Source organism: Homo sapiens, chromosome 3 (assembly GCF_000001405.40).
Source record: "Homo sapiens chromosome 3, GRCh38.p14 Primary Assembly".
Taxonomy (NCBI): Eukaryota; Metazoa; Chordata; class Mammalia; order Primates; family Hominidae; genus Homo; species Homo sapiens.
This window is the reverse complement of record NC_000003.12, coordinates 186,936,826-186,951,945: the sequence shown is the minus strand read 5'-3', so window position 1 is coordinate 186,951,945 and position 15,120 is coordinate 186,936,826. Positions and strand designations below refer to the sequence as shown.

Sequence of the window (15,120 nt, the reverse complement as noted above, 5' to 3'; positions counted from 1 at the left end):
CCCTGTTAGCACATGAGGACACGGTGAAAAAGCACCATCCATAAATTAGGAAGCAAGCTCTCACCAGACGCCGAATCTGCTGGTGCCTTCAACTTGGACTTCCCAGCCTCCAGAACTATGAGCAATACATTTCTTTTGTTTATAAACCACCCTGTTTACGGTATTTTGTTATCACAGCCTGAATGGACTAAGACAAAAGGTATGAAAGTTTTCCTCCGACTGCCATTATTTTTTCAGGTAAGTTTAAAACAAGGTATCAACTGAGAGTATGGATAGGGAAGGTGTTAGAGACTTGAAGAGAGAGAAAAAGGTGCGAAACAGTCATCTAGATGACAGAGGAATGGTCATGCTTCTCAACTATCATTCATTGGAATTAACAGCACAGGTTAACAAAGAGATACTGGTGCCCAGGTCAACCTCACAAAGACTTTGATTTCGTTAGTTTGAGAGGAATTCAGGCAGCAATACGTGTTATAATTCCCACCAGTAACACTAATGACAGCCAGGGTTGAGAACCAATGGACCAACAAAATGAAGCGACATGGCCTACAACACCAATGTCCCCTTAAGAGTCATGGCCAAGAATTACGGCCTGGCGCAGTGGCTCATGCCTGTAATCCCAGCACTTTGGGAGGCCGATGTGGGCGGATTGCCTGAGGTCAGGAGTTCGAGACCAGCCTGACCAACATGGTGAAACCCTATCTCTACTAAAAATACAAAAAATGAGCGGGTCACGTTGGCAGGTGCCTGAAGCTGAGGCAGGAGAATCGCTTGAACCCAGGAGGCAGAGGCTGCACGCAGTGAACCGAGATCACGCCATAGCACTGCAGCCTGGGGGACAAAAACAAAACTCTGTCTCAAAAAAAATAAACAAAAAAGAATTAGAGTGGGACCATTCAGGATGACACTATGCTTTTCTACAGTCACACTCAGATTTGTGGAGTAGGTATGGTGTTCAAAGAGCTGGATTTAGCCAGGGCTAAATGAGATACTTGTAAAGCATATAGCATGCCCAGACATGGTAAGAGTTCAGTAAATGAAAGCTTCTACGTTTGTTTTTATCACCACCTAGGTGACACACAACATGCATGCAGCAAATAAAATCCTGTTTTTATCTCATCCAAATGATTCACCCAATCATATCATATCACAGAACTTTAGAGTCATTTGTGAATAACTAAAACCACAAATGTATATCCTTAACTATCAAGGTGGTCTTCTCCGGTTCTTTTTATTTGACACTGAGCACTGCATAAAGGGTCAGTGGACTTCCCAGAAATCACAGAAGTCACAGGTCACCCCTCCTCCCACCTACCTGCTGTCTGAATTTGATAACAACCGCTTTGTACCATTTTGTGAAGCCCCTCCATCCACATGACCTGGAGCCTGCACTTTAGTGAGCTCTGCCTTTGCAGTTCCTGCCTGGTAATCTGTCCCACTCCCTCTGAGGAGGCCCACTCCTGCTCCTAGCCCTAAGCCTGGAGCCCAGATACCTATGGAGAGATCACTGGGATGACAAGTGCCACCTCAACACCCTCTCCCCCAGTCAGGCCTGGCTGGATTCCTGCCCATGTAAAACCACCTGCTGGAAAATGACTGCAGACTCTATCCTGACCCAAACTGAGTAGGATCAAATGCCAGCAGAGAGGGGGAAGCCCGAGGGCTCACCTGTCCAGGGAGCCTCCACTGTTAGCTCTGCCCTCCCTTATGAGTGGATCCAATGCTGCCCCCGCCCCAACTGCCTGGCAGATTCTTCTTCATTCTTTTAAAGCCTTTGAGGATATCATCTCTTTTTCTGGCCTTCTCTGCCCCTGCCTCCAGCTCCCTCCACAGCTTGTGCAACTTGCTTTCCTTTGTGCCCCCTTCCACAGGCCTGGCTCTCCTCCTAGATGGAGAGCTCCTCCAGGGAGAGGCTGTATCTCATTTCTCTTTCTATTCACAGCCCCTAGCAAAGTGGCCCATCAGGTGGACAATAACTGAGAATAACCGTTCACATGTGCTGTGATATTGAAAATAACCACGATTTATTGGTCTCCAACCATGTGCCCAAAACTAGGTTAGGCACTACCTCTAGGACTCACACCAATGCTACAAGGCAGAAAGGATGAATATAGACTAAGACAGGAAACTGAGGACCAGAGAGGCCAAGCTGCCAAGCTTGCACACCTGAGAAGTGGCATATCTGGAATTTAAACCCAAGTCTGTCTGGCTACAAAGCATGTGGTTTTTTTTCCGAATGATAAGGTCTTTCTGAGGAAGGTGACATTGCAAACGGTAGTTAACAGGGAAGGCAGTGAGTTGCCTCCAAGCCCTCCTACTGTGAGTCACTGGATCTGGCTGGGGAGACAAGGGCAGGACTCTTCAAGTACAGAAGGATTCCCTGTGAGACGCCTTTGGTTCATCTCCTCCTGGCCAGTTTTTTCCCCTCATCCAAATTTGCAGCCCAGAATAAGATGTTCATTGTGAAAAGCAAAAAAGGAGCCGTCACAAGCCCTCTGGCAGGAATCATCTTCTGGGGATTCATTCCTCACACTGTCAGCCACCACCTCCAGCTCAGGCCCAAGGCCAGCCTCCTCCCAGAACCAGCACTGTGCAGTCCACAAAGGCAATCCCTGAGGCAGACTCTTAGGTAACTGATAACTCAGCCTGGCTGCCACGTCACAGCTCCCTAGCTGCCTTCTTCCCTCTCTCACCTGGAACAAATTCCTATGACCCTGGTTCCCAAAATAAGACAAGAAGAACAAGGTCCCAAGCTTGACTCTCCTCCAGGGCTCAGATCCATGAACCATCCCAGAGAATTTTCCCTCTTTCACCCGCCTGCTTGGCTTTTATTTCCAAGGCTAGAATTGGCAGGTAGGAAAAATGACTCTCTGGTGGAGCAGGAGGGCCCACTACAGCCTCACGGGCTTCCCACCACGGGCTACTGCAAATTCACTGCCTGCTGTCACACCTTGATCTTACCGAGAGAACACCCACTCAACTCACTGGTGGCTGGATGTGTTCTTACCTCAGTGGACAAACAGGAGCATCGCGGGAGCTGAGCTCATTCCATGAGGACTCCTAAGGGCTGGGCAGGATACTGGGCCCAGGGCTGTGCAGAGAAACCAGTCATCATCCCCACCATCCAGGATGTCAAGGTCTAACATAGCAAATTTCACATAGCATAGTGAGCATGGCACAAGAGATCGGAGGTCTTCTCTCTCCTTTGTGGGCCATGAATTTGAGGGGGCTCCTCCGGAACTGAGGCTGGCTGGAGCTGAGGCTGAGCCAAAGGTGTTGGTATAGCAGAGAGACCAGTGAGATAAGGAAGAAACGGATCTCTTCAGCGATATGGAATAGCCTGGGTCTCTCTCCAACGACCACATACACACACAGACACACACACACACACACACACACACACACACACACACACACTAGAGTTTCTGAACCCCCAAGAGCATACCAGGCCCCAGCCCACACCCTACAACCATCCTGATCCTTCCCGGAGCAAACGTCAGGTGCCTCCAGCCACACTAGCTCAGAGCAGAGGTCTGGCTGCCCGCCCAGTTTGATAAGTGTTGTCAGAAGCCCAATTTCTTTGAGGTCAGGGCCTTGCTTTGTCCTCATCGGTACTTCTGGAGAATAAAGCTGGCCACCGAAGTCCCCTGACAACCCTATCCTTCCTGGTCCCTCTTTCAGACCACTGGCGTCTACCAGACATGGCAGGGCCTGCCGGCGTGGCAGCTCCAACATTCATTCCTGTAGCTTGGCACGTCTGGAACAGCCTCCTCCACCCTCACCAAGCTGTTGACAGCCATCCCGACGCAACTCTGGCCCAGAAATTCCCCAGCAACCAGGAAGGCAGGCAAGAGCGGATTCTCACCCAGGCAGGGAGAGAGCCAGACACACTCCCTGCCTCCTCCCTCCCTCACTCTCTGCTGCCTTTCATTACAGCCTCCAGCTGGTTAACTGAGTCAGGGAAGCAGTTTCTTGCCTGTTGACCAGGTTGTTTGTGTCAACCCTGTAGGGGCTGTGTCTATGACTGTGAACATTTTCACAGACACCTGTGGGTGCTTGAACAGATGTATGCTCTCAGCAGAGCAAGGGGTGTGTCCGCAATAACAAACCCTTCTGTGTGCCTCTTTCAAACTGTCTCATCCTTAACGTCTATGATCTAATTTGAACATAAAAACTAATCTCAGGCTAGGCAGTGGCACAATTATTATCCCCTTCTATAGGCAAGGAAATTAGGGTTCTGATTAAGTAGCCTGGGGCCACACGGCTGCTGGATGGTGGAGTCTGGACCATCATGTAGGCTCTTATATTTACCTAAAAATTTACCTACAAAATTTACATCTAAACCATGTTTTATTTTATAGGTAAATGTAAATAATAATAAATACCAATCTAAACATAAACGTAAATGTATAAAATAGACTTACTTATAAAATATTTACCTATACAATTATTTTTACATTTTGTGTTTCATAAAGGTGGCTGATTCCGGTCTCTGTGCACCACAAATCATAGCACAATAGAAAAACCATGGGCATGGCTGTGCAGGCAGCACAGGGAGCTCAAATCAGTCTCACCACCATGCGCCTCTGGGCAGATAAACATCACTATTTTTTAATGCTCACCTTCTCTGTACCATTGCACTTTTCGTGTATGTGCTGCTGAAGCAAGCACAGATCTCTCACCCTTAACTTCAGTTCCCTCATGTGTACAGTAGAGATAATTGTACCTGTGCTATAGGGTTGTTGGGCAACCTAGAGATATCTACGTGTAGTATCTAGTGTGCTGTGCACACTGTATTAACAGCAGCCATGTTTTCCTTCATCCTTGCTTCTCCAACCACGAACCACCAACAAACTGCTCCCAGTAACCCCAGACATGCCAACGCCCCTTCATCCCCAGGCCTGTGTTCCTGCTGCCCCCAGGCCAGAAAGGTCCTTTCTCCCATTCTCCACCTATCAAAACTCCATCGGTCTCCTGGGTGAAACCTTTTCCATTGTCGTGTGGGCCCCAATCCCCAGCTGTCCATCTGATTGATAACGTATTTTGTTCTGCCTAGAGTGAGGTGTTTGCATAACTGACTCTCAAATCCCCCACAGTGTTCATCCATCTGTATCTCCGTTCCCACTCTTCACTCCCCAGGAACCAGTTTTTAATGGTGCCTTTCAGAATAGCTTCAGTGGTCTGATTTAAGTAAGACTAGTTCATTATTTATAAAATGTCAATCAATATGCAAAACTATATAGAGCTAAAAATCACCCAAGAGCCCTCTATCCAGGAAAAAATAAATGAATTAGTATCATTCCTCAAGTCTCTATATCTGTATATGGATAGAAGTGTGAAAGATGGAAGAAAGCATGCGTGAAAGGATAGATGGGGATTGCTTTACACAATAGCTGTTTTGGGTCAGGAGCAGTGGCTCAGACCTGTAATCCCAACACTTTCGGAGGCCGGCGGGAGGATCACTTGAACCCGGGAGATCGAGTCTACAGTGAGCAGTGACCGCGCCACTGCACTCCAGCCTAGGTGACAGAATGAGACACTGTCTCAAAAAATAATAATAATAAGTTTTTTAAAAGTAAAATAAAATAGCTAATTTTATTATTTTATTTTATAAGGAAAAGGAACACTTTTTTTTTTTGAAATGGAATCTCACTCTGTCGCCCAGGCTAGAGTGGCACGACCTCAGCTCACTGCAACCTCCGCTTCCTGGGTTCAAGCCACTCTTCTGCCTCAGCCCCACCGAGCAGCCGAGATTACAGGCGCCCGCCACCATGCCCAGTACAAAATAATTTTTGTATTTTTCGTAGAGACGGGGTTTCACCATGTTGGTTAGGCTGGGCTCGAACTCCTGACCTCAGGTGATCCACCCGCTTGGCCTCCCAAAGTGCTGGGATTACAGGCATGAGCCACCGCGCCCGGCCAGAAAAGGTACCCTTCTTTTTTTTTTTTTTTTTTTTGACGGAGTCTTGCTCTGTCACCCAAGCTGGAGTGCAGTGGCGCGATCTCGGCTCACTGCAAGCTCCGCCTCCCAGGTTCACACCATTCTCCTGCCTCAGCCTCCCAAGTAGCTGAGACTGCAGGTGCCCACCACCACGCCTGGCTAATTTTTTTGTATTTTTTTTTGGTAGAGACAGGGTTTCACTGTGTTAGCCAGGATGGTCTCGATCTCCTGATCTCGTGATCCACCCGCCTTGGCCTCCCAAAGTGCTGAGATTACAGGCATGAGCCACCGTGCCCAGCCGGAAAAGGTACACTTCTAATTAAAGTTAGCACTTAACATCTCCTCACGTCTCCCCTAACCCCCTATTTCTGGTATATTCTTTCTACTTCCTCACATTCTGTTCCTTAGTCCTCACTGCCCATCCCTGCCCCTGCTTAGCTTTGCTTCTCTATTTGAACGGATTAAGAGTTCACCAATTGACCTTCCACTATGCCTTCTAAGTATGTTTGTCGATTAATCTTTTTCTTCCTCAAGTGGGTTTCCTGAGAAGGCCTCTTCAGTGCTAGATTCCCTAAATTCTTGCAAGTGTGAGGATGTCTGCCTGACATACTTGCAAAGTAATTTGAGTGTAAAATTCTTCAGTCCCATTGCCTTTGCCCCAGAACTCTGTAAACAATTTTTTTTTTTTTTTTTTAAATAGAGACAGGGTCTTGCTCTTTCACCCAGCCCAGAGCACAGTGGCACAATCATAGCTCACTGCAGCCCCGAGCTCCTGGGCAAGGGATCCTCCCACATCAGTCTTCCAAGTAGCTAGGACTACAGGCATGCACTACCACACCCAGCTGATGATTTTCATTAGGGTCTCGCTATGTTGCCCAAGCTGGTCTCAAACTTCTGGCCTCAAGCGATCCGCAGGCTTCTGCCTCCCAAAGTGCTAGGATTTTAGGCATGAGCCACCTCACCTGGCCTCTGTAAACCTGTTCAGTCATGTCTGAGACCAACATGACTTCCCTTAAAGCAGATACTAGTTGATCCCAATATCCAGGTTTTCCTTTCAGTAGTAGAAAGCTTTCCCCAAAACTGAGTTTTAAGAAGGCATATGGCCTCTCAGCTGGAGACTTTTTCCCAGAGTTACTTACAGCCAGGTGTGTCTATCTATGTGACTAAGTCTTGGCCAATGGAATATGAGCAAAAGCGACGAGTGCCTCCGCAGACTCTCCAATTACCCTTTTGAAGGCCCACCTTTGTATGATCTTTAGATCTCTGATTTAAGTGCGTTATCTTTTTTCTCAGCATAGGCTGTGATTTTCCTCAAGCCTTCCTTCTCTGTTAGCAATTTCATTTTCAACAGATTCTGTTATGTTTCCTGGTAACTTTTTCTGTAATGACATTGTTTTTATCCCCAATGTCTTCCTTGGCTCTGTAATTACCTTTTTTATTTCATTGAGTAGTTTCATCATCTTGTCTTTGGGATCCAATTAATTAGTTTTCAATAATCTTGATTTTGCATGAATGAATTCCCCATACTGCCTCTCCTACCCGAGAGCCAACTCTAACCCAGGAATTATCTTGGAGGATGGGGAGAATAGGCAAAAGATGTCCCATTCACCATTAAGTGAGACAATAATTTTGCTCATATGTTATGCCCTCCACCTTCCCAACTCCTACTCATCCTTAAAGGGACAGCTCAAGGCCCATTACCCCACGTTCCTCCAGCCAGCTGTGATTGTTCCTGTTCCAGTCCCCAAAGTGTTTCTCCAAACTAAAGGATTCGCAGGCACTACCTGGGCTCACAAATAAACCTGGATCTTTTGAGAAACGAGATGAATCTTCTCCCTCTTCACACGTGGTTGGGCACATAAAGATTTTATTTGAAGACTTCTGGATTACTGATTGGCTGGATAAAAAGGAAGGTGAACCCTAGAACCAAGACTCAGAAAACCTGTCAACATCAGACCCACTAGTCCCAATTTAACAAAAAGTTGGGTAACACCATGAGGCAGGTTGAAAGAAGAGGATTCGGCAAGGGATGTTGTCCTTGAAACATTAAAAGAGAGGGAACAATCGTCTTAGCCAGCAAGCCAGACTTTCACAGCCTGCCTCTGCAGGCACTGAAGTGGAGGCTGAGACATGGGCTCTGGAGGCAAGCAGGCCTATGTTCAAGACCACGCAACTCAACACACTCACGGTCTGACTTTGAGCAAGTCACTGAATCTCCTTCAACCTTTGTTTCCTCGCCTATTAATCTGAGATAATAGGCCGGGCATGGTGGCTCATGCCTGTAATCCCAGCACTTTGGGAGGCTGAGGCGGGCGGATCACGAGGTCAGGAGTTTGAGACCAGCCTGACCAACATGGTGAAACCCCATGTCTACTAAAAATACAAAAATTAGCCAGGCATGGTAGTGTGTACCTGTAATCCCAGCTACTCAGGAGGCTGAGACAGGGGAATGGCTTGAACCCGGGAGGCGGAGGTTGCAGTGAGCCGAGATCGCACCACTGCACTCCAGCCTGAGCAAGAGCGAGACTCCGTCTAAAAATAAATAAATAAAATAAAATAAAAAATTGAGATAATAATAGTGTATGCAGTGTTATGAAAATTCTATTAAATAACACATGTAATGGTTCCAGCCTCAAGTCCCGCCACTTCATGCCTCATGCATTTCTCTCCAGGAATATCAACCTGCTAGTGTTTCCCTGACATATACAATGAGCCATTTCTCACCCTCAAATCTTTGCTCCTGCAGCCTTCCCCTGCCTCAAAAATGCTCATTTCCCAGAGGCTAACAGCTACTACTTTCTAAGACACAGCTTGTGTGTTGCCTCTTCCAGAAATCTTTCCCAAACTTACTGGATCTTCTTCCCATCATCTGTGCACACCCAAATCATAATATTTATCACACTATATTGTAATTAATATGTGCATATCTGCCTTCAACTAAGCTCTGGAAGCAACAGACTATGGGGATTATTTGGATCTATGTTCTAAAAATGAGCACTGCAGTCCCGGCACAGTGGCTCACACCTGTGATCCCAGCACTTTGGGAGGCCGAGGTCGGTGGATCACCTGAGGTGAGCAGTTTGAGACCAGCCTGGCCAACACGGCGAAACCTCATCTCTACTAAAAATACAAAAATTAGCTGGGCGTAGTGGTGGGCACCTGAAACTTTAGATGAGTTTCTAGCCCTTTCTGAAGCTTGGTTTTCTTATTTGCAAAATGGAGCTAATGATACCGACACAGCAGATCTTCCTGTGATGATTGGATGAGAGAACACACAACATGCCTAATCAGGGCCAGGCACACAGCAAAAGCCCAGAAGATGGTAAATTTTGCCACGTTTCCTTCACCAGACTTGGTTAAGACTTAAGTCAAAACATTCTTCTTCACTTGCAGGAAAGAAAGGGATCAGCCTTAAACACGGTGGGTGCCCTCGATTCCAGCACAGAGGACCATCGAGAGGTTGTAAAGGGTACAGCATTCCTAAAATTAAAGCTGGAAGCTCGGCACTGTACTAAGGAAAACTCCATCAACCAACAGACGGATGCAGATTTACAAAGACTGCAATGAAAAAACTTACAACCATCCTCCTGGGACATGCAGTTCTTTTCCAGGTGCCAGATTTCCTGATCATCTAAAGTGTACGTAAGGTATTTATTCCTGTGGAAATAATTTAAGAATACAAGGTCAAAGGGAGCTGAAGCCAAGGACAGAACAGGGAGAGAGTTGCCAAGATCCAAGGGAAACAAGGCTTAAGCCTCCTTTGATGGCTTCCATCTTATTCCACCTTTTCAGAGCAGGTGAAAACTACTTCACTACATTGTCTATAACTTGTCCCACCCCTTTAGTTCTAGTTTGCACCTTTCTGCTTCTTGCCCCATAGTCACAGACTCTCAAAGCTGCAGGGGGCCTAAGTGGCCATTGAGGTCAACCCCTCTGCAATGCAGAAGTCCTCTGATGGCAAACAAGTTTACTTGCAACTTTTTTTTTTTTTTTGAGACGGAGTCTTGCTCTGTCGCCTAGGATGGAGTGCAGTGGCATGATCTCGGCTCACTGCAAGCTCGGCCTCCTGGGTTCACGCCATTGTCCTGCCTCCGCCTCCCGAGTAGCTGGGACTACAGCCACCCACAACCACGCCGGGCTAATTTTTTGTATTTTTAGTAGAGACGGGGTTTCACTGTGTTAGCTAGGATGGTCTCTATCTCCTGACCTCATGATCCGCCTGCCTCGGCCTCCCAAAGTGCTGGGATTACAGGCATGAGCCACCGTGCCCAGCCTACTTGCAACTTTTGCTTGGATCACTTTATAACACGGCAGTGGCTTCCTTGTAACACAGCTTGTTCCATTGTTGGGTAGCTCCGTTAAGTCAGTTCTTCCTTATTTGTTTTCCTGCAACTCTTTCCCCTCCTCACCCCCCGCCCATCTTGCTTCTCCCGTCTGCAGCAGCCACTCAGTGTGACTGTAATGAAGTGTGATTTCTTCCGCATGAAAAGGATGCCTCTTATTTTTATCTCTTGCAGACTAGAAAGTCCTAGTTTCCACATTTATTCCACCTCCGATATGTTGTCCTAAGCCACTGTCATCCAAGTAGCCAATTTCTGGGTGTGCATCATTTTATCACTCTCTGGAGGGGACCCAGGGAAGCATAACACTCCAGGTAGGTTTGAACAACCAGACAAAGTACAATATAACTGTAACAATTCCTCCTCCAGAGCCCGAGATCAAACACTCCTTTTCTTCAGTTCTCTCTCCTCCCTCCCTACCACTTAAGTGCCAGTTCTCCCACGAGGTCCTGTTCCTGACCCTGAGACCAGAAACAAACTTGGAAGGCCCAAGGATGGTGGGAAGGGGAGGGGAACGTGATGACGCAGCTCAGTGTTTGCACTTGAAGCTGAGGACACCAAACCAGGCAGGCTATCTCCAAAAATAACCTTCCATGCAAACAGCCTCTTGGTAGCTTCCTGAGAGCCCTTCAATTCAGCTTTCCAGAGTGCAGACCCCAGTGTTTCTGTGCCCACTCTCTCACCATCCTTTCCAGAACTTGATGGACTAGGTTCATTTAACCCACTGACATTTACAACCATCTCTCCATATGTTTGAGGTCTAAAAACACTTAGAAATATATTTTTATGGGAATACATAAATGTCCATCAACAGAAGATTGGTAAGGTAAACACATTCAAAATATAGAATGCAATGCAGCTATGAAAAAAAAAAAAAAAAACACTGACATGGGAAGACCTCCAATACACACAGTAAAATGAACAAGGCAAGTTTGTAAATGGACTAGTATAATGCCAGGAATGTCCGATCTTTTGGCTTCCCTGGGCCCACACTGGAAGAATTATCTTGGGCCACACATAAAATACACTAACACTAATGATAGCTGATGAGATTAAAGAAAAAAGAAAAACACAAAAAAACGCATAATTTTTAAAGAAAGTTTACGAATTTGTGTTGGGCCGCATTCAAAGCCATCCTGGGCTACATGCGGCCCCCACGCCACGGGTTGAACAAGTTTGATTGTAATCCATCTACTGAGTTTTAAAAATGTATTTGCATATAGCCACAAATACATATATAAATGTGTACAAAGGGGTTAGAAGGACAGACATCAAACTGCAAACAGTAGTCATTGCAAAGAGAAGTGGAATGAGGGAGGAATGGCATAAGCTGAGGGGTTAATTTTTTACCCCATTTGAATACTCTAAAAAAAAAACCATTTCATTTATTATTTATGTGAAGAAGCCTCCCAGTCTTACATGTATGTTTCATTTGATAATCTCAGAGCTGGAAGGGGCTGCACAGGGCTGAGAGTTGATTCTCTGAGGTGGCATACCCAGGGTGGCATGCATTTGTCCAAGGTCACAGAGCTAGCCACCAACAGCCAGAGACCACAAGTCACAGTCCAGGTCTTGAAATAATGGGTGTCCCAGTGGATTAAGGAGAGGACTTTGACTTGATTACTAAATCGGATCGACTTTCCTATTTTATTTGAGTCAAAAATTCCTACTTGGGTGTAACAGCAAGTTAGAGGAGACCAAGAATCATCAAAGTCAGAGGTAGAAAAGGGACCCTGTCTTCCCATAGATGGGGTGTGAGAGAGGGCCTGCTACCAAGGACTGGGACCTTCTCTAGGTCCCCCATCCTCATCCATAAAGCAGAGGGAAGGGGCTAACTAACAGAGGGGATGGGAGATTTGCAAGCATGGGGCGTTGTGTGTGTCAGGTGCTCATCTGAGCTACCACCACATCTTCGGCATGAGAGACCGGCAGCAACGCTCCCTGAATGCATTCTGGTGAGGCTGCAGGTGGCAGTCAGGGACCTAAACTGCATATGGAGGCTGCCTCTCAGGAAGGGAAGGCTGGGCTCGAGTCTGATTTAGGTCCAACTCATATTGAGCCACTTGAGCTGTCACATGGGTTATCTCATTTAATACTCACAAAATGTTTACAAATATGCTCCAAGAAATTCAAAAGTCACTTTCTAAAAGCATAAATCCATTAAGGGGTGGGGCCCTTATTTGAAATCAGGTTTCCTGACTCCGAATTCAGTGCTCCTTCCACCCTGTCTATTTGTGACACAGCAAGGCCTCCTTACTTGGGCAGTAAAGCTTAAGAAGTGCCCAGGTTGGAAGCTGGGCACAGTGGCTTATGCCTGTAATCCCAGCACTTTGGGAGGCCAAGGCAGGAGGATCGGTTGAGCCCAGGAGTTCAAGCCTGGGCAACACGGTGAGACACCCATCTCTACAAAAAAAATAAATAAAATTAACTGGGTGTGGTGGTGCATGCCTGTAGTCCCAGCTACTCGGAGGCTGAGGCAGGAGGATCGCTTGTGCCTGGGAGGTCAGAGACTGCAGCAAGTCATGATCATCCCACTGCACTCCAGCCTGGGTGACAGTGCGAGACCCTGTCTCAAAAAAGAAAAAAAAAAAAAAAAGGTCCCAGGTTGACTTTCTGTCTCTCTCCTCACTCCCAATCCTCCCTAAAGGTCCTAGGTTGACTTTCTGTCTCTCTCCTGACTCCCAATCCTCCCTACACACACATACACACACACAGTCCCATGACTGCGACAGCAGAGGCAGGCTCTTAGCCAGCACAACTCAGTGCCTCAAATATGTATCATGTGACTGAAATAGCTATGGCTCGGCTGATAAGATGTCTGGGATGTACTTGCACGTAATCTGGGGTTGACCATGGGGTTACGGATCAGCCATGCGTTTCAGTCATAGTTGAAGCCAAGGGATATGATATAGGGTTCCTTACACTCTTCTTTGTGCTTTTGTATGTTTGAAATTTTCCCTAATAAAAAAGACCTTTTATTCTTTTTTTATGCATCATGTGAACGATCATTTTTCTCTCTCAACTTGTCACTTGGTGGGGGTTTCCATTTTAATTAACTTTCTGCTTCCCTCAGCACAGAAAACCAAACAATGGCCTGCTGTCATGGTAAGAAAAAATATCAGGAGCAAAAGTGTGCGGCTTGTGAAAACCTCAGTTATAACAATAACAGCTATTACTTAACTGAATGCTTCTTGTATACCTGGCACTGTACTGAGCCTTTCACCCACGATTTCATCTAATGCTCATAATCACCCTATGAGATAAGGTCTGTTATCCCCATTTTACAGAGAAGGAAATTGAAGCTTAGTAAGCTTAAGTAGCTTGTCCAAGTCTACATAGGCGATACATAGTGGGCAAGAAAGCAAATCCCGACTTGCTTGCGCTGTTAGTTTTTCCCATTCCCACAATATATATTTAGCTACTTTAAGACTTTATAGGTAATTGAACTAAATCCATGAAGTTTTAAAAATGGTCATACCCTTTAAAGTATAACCCAGTAATTTCAACTTTAGGACTACCCTATGGGAATCATCTGGAAAATGAACAGAGATTTCTTCATGAATATTTTATTTTATTTCATTTCATTTCATTTTGAGACAGTCTTGCTCTGTCACCCAGTCTGCAGTGCAGTGGTGCGATCTCAGCTCACTGCAACCTCCGCCTACTGGGTTCCAGCAATTCTCCCACCTCAGCCTCCTGAGTAACTGGGATTATAGGCACCCGCCACCACGCCTGGCTGTTTTTTTGTATTTTTGGTAGAGACAGGGTTTCACCATGTTGGCCAGGCTGGTCTCGAACTCCTGATCTCAGGTGATCTGCCTGCATCAGCCTCCCAAAGTGCTGGGATTACAGGAGTGAGCCACCACTCCTGGCTCTTCACAGATATTTTAATCACAGTGTCAATTACAATAAGAGAAAGTTAGATGTGGTTGGCTGTCCAGTGTGGCCTCATGCAGGAGGCCATTCCCACTGCTCCAGTCATTGGTGACTCCCTCCTCAAGGTCGCACGGCATCCTGCACTAATCTCTTGTTACCCCTGCCTCCTCCTTTGAACTATGAGCTTCTAAAAAACTAAGCTCTTCTTATTTGTCTTTGGTTTAGAGTGGGCACTCAAATATGTGGTGAATAAATTAATAAGTGACCTTGGAGTTGCTCATTTAACATATGCAGACGTTGAAGACTGGGGTATTAAAGTTAAGTTTTTGAAGGTCACAAGGGCAGACTGGAACTCAAGGCCATGTGCAGGCCTCTTCTCTCCCCACTGTACTGTCAGTACCTGTAGACTTCTAAAGAACCGACGGGTGATGGCTGAACACCTGAGGCAATGGTGGGAAAGGCAGAGGCAGTTGGAGGCTCCTGAAATTTTATAGGCCCTCACTGAAATGATCAGATCCCAGGGGCCCACACATCCTTGGAGACGCCGAACAGCTGATATGGGTGACGAATGAAAGAATACAGCTTTAATGCAATGTTAACCATGAAATGTATATATGGGAAGGTTAAGCAAGAAGGCAAGAGACATAACTGCACATACAGTATGTTCTCAACCATTTACAAAAAATATATCCATTTAAAAAAAAAAGAAGAAGGAAAATTGCCAACTGTTAAGAGGGGTTGCCTTTGGATAGCGGAATTTTTTTCTGTTTCTCTATGTTTTTTTGTACAGTACTTTCCAAATTATCCTCAATGGTCAAGCTTTTTCTTTTTTTTTTTTTTTTTTTTTTTGAGACAGTCTTGCTCTGTCACCCAGGCTGGAGTACAGTAATACAATCTTGGCTCACTGCAACCTCCGCCTCCAGGGTTCAAACGATTCTCCTGCCTCAGCCTCCAAAGTAGCTA

General features: G+C 46.1%; 1 protein-coding gene across 2 annotated transcripts in view, besides 1 other annotated feature; it reads right to left on the bottom strand.

The window, feature by feature from the left end:
- The window catches only part of ST6GAL1 (ST6 beta-galactoside alpha-2,6-sialyltransferase 1), a 148,028-nt gene that overhangs the window by 126,608 nt on the left and 6,300 nt on the right, over window positions 1–15,120 (bottom strand). The window lies entirely within an intron of this gene.
- Window positions 10,022–10,523: an enhancer, noted in NCBI's record as "H3K4me1 hESC enhancer chr3:186659211-186659712 (GRCh37/hg19 assembly coordinates)". NCBI's record gives its function as "activates a minimal SCP1, AML or CMV promoter by ChIP-STARR-seq in naive H9 embryonic stem cells {active_cell/tissue: H9 hESC(naive)}" and the evidence as "EXISTENCE:reporter gene assay evidence [ECO:0000049][PMID:30033119]".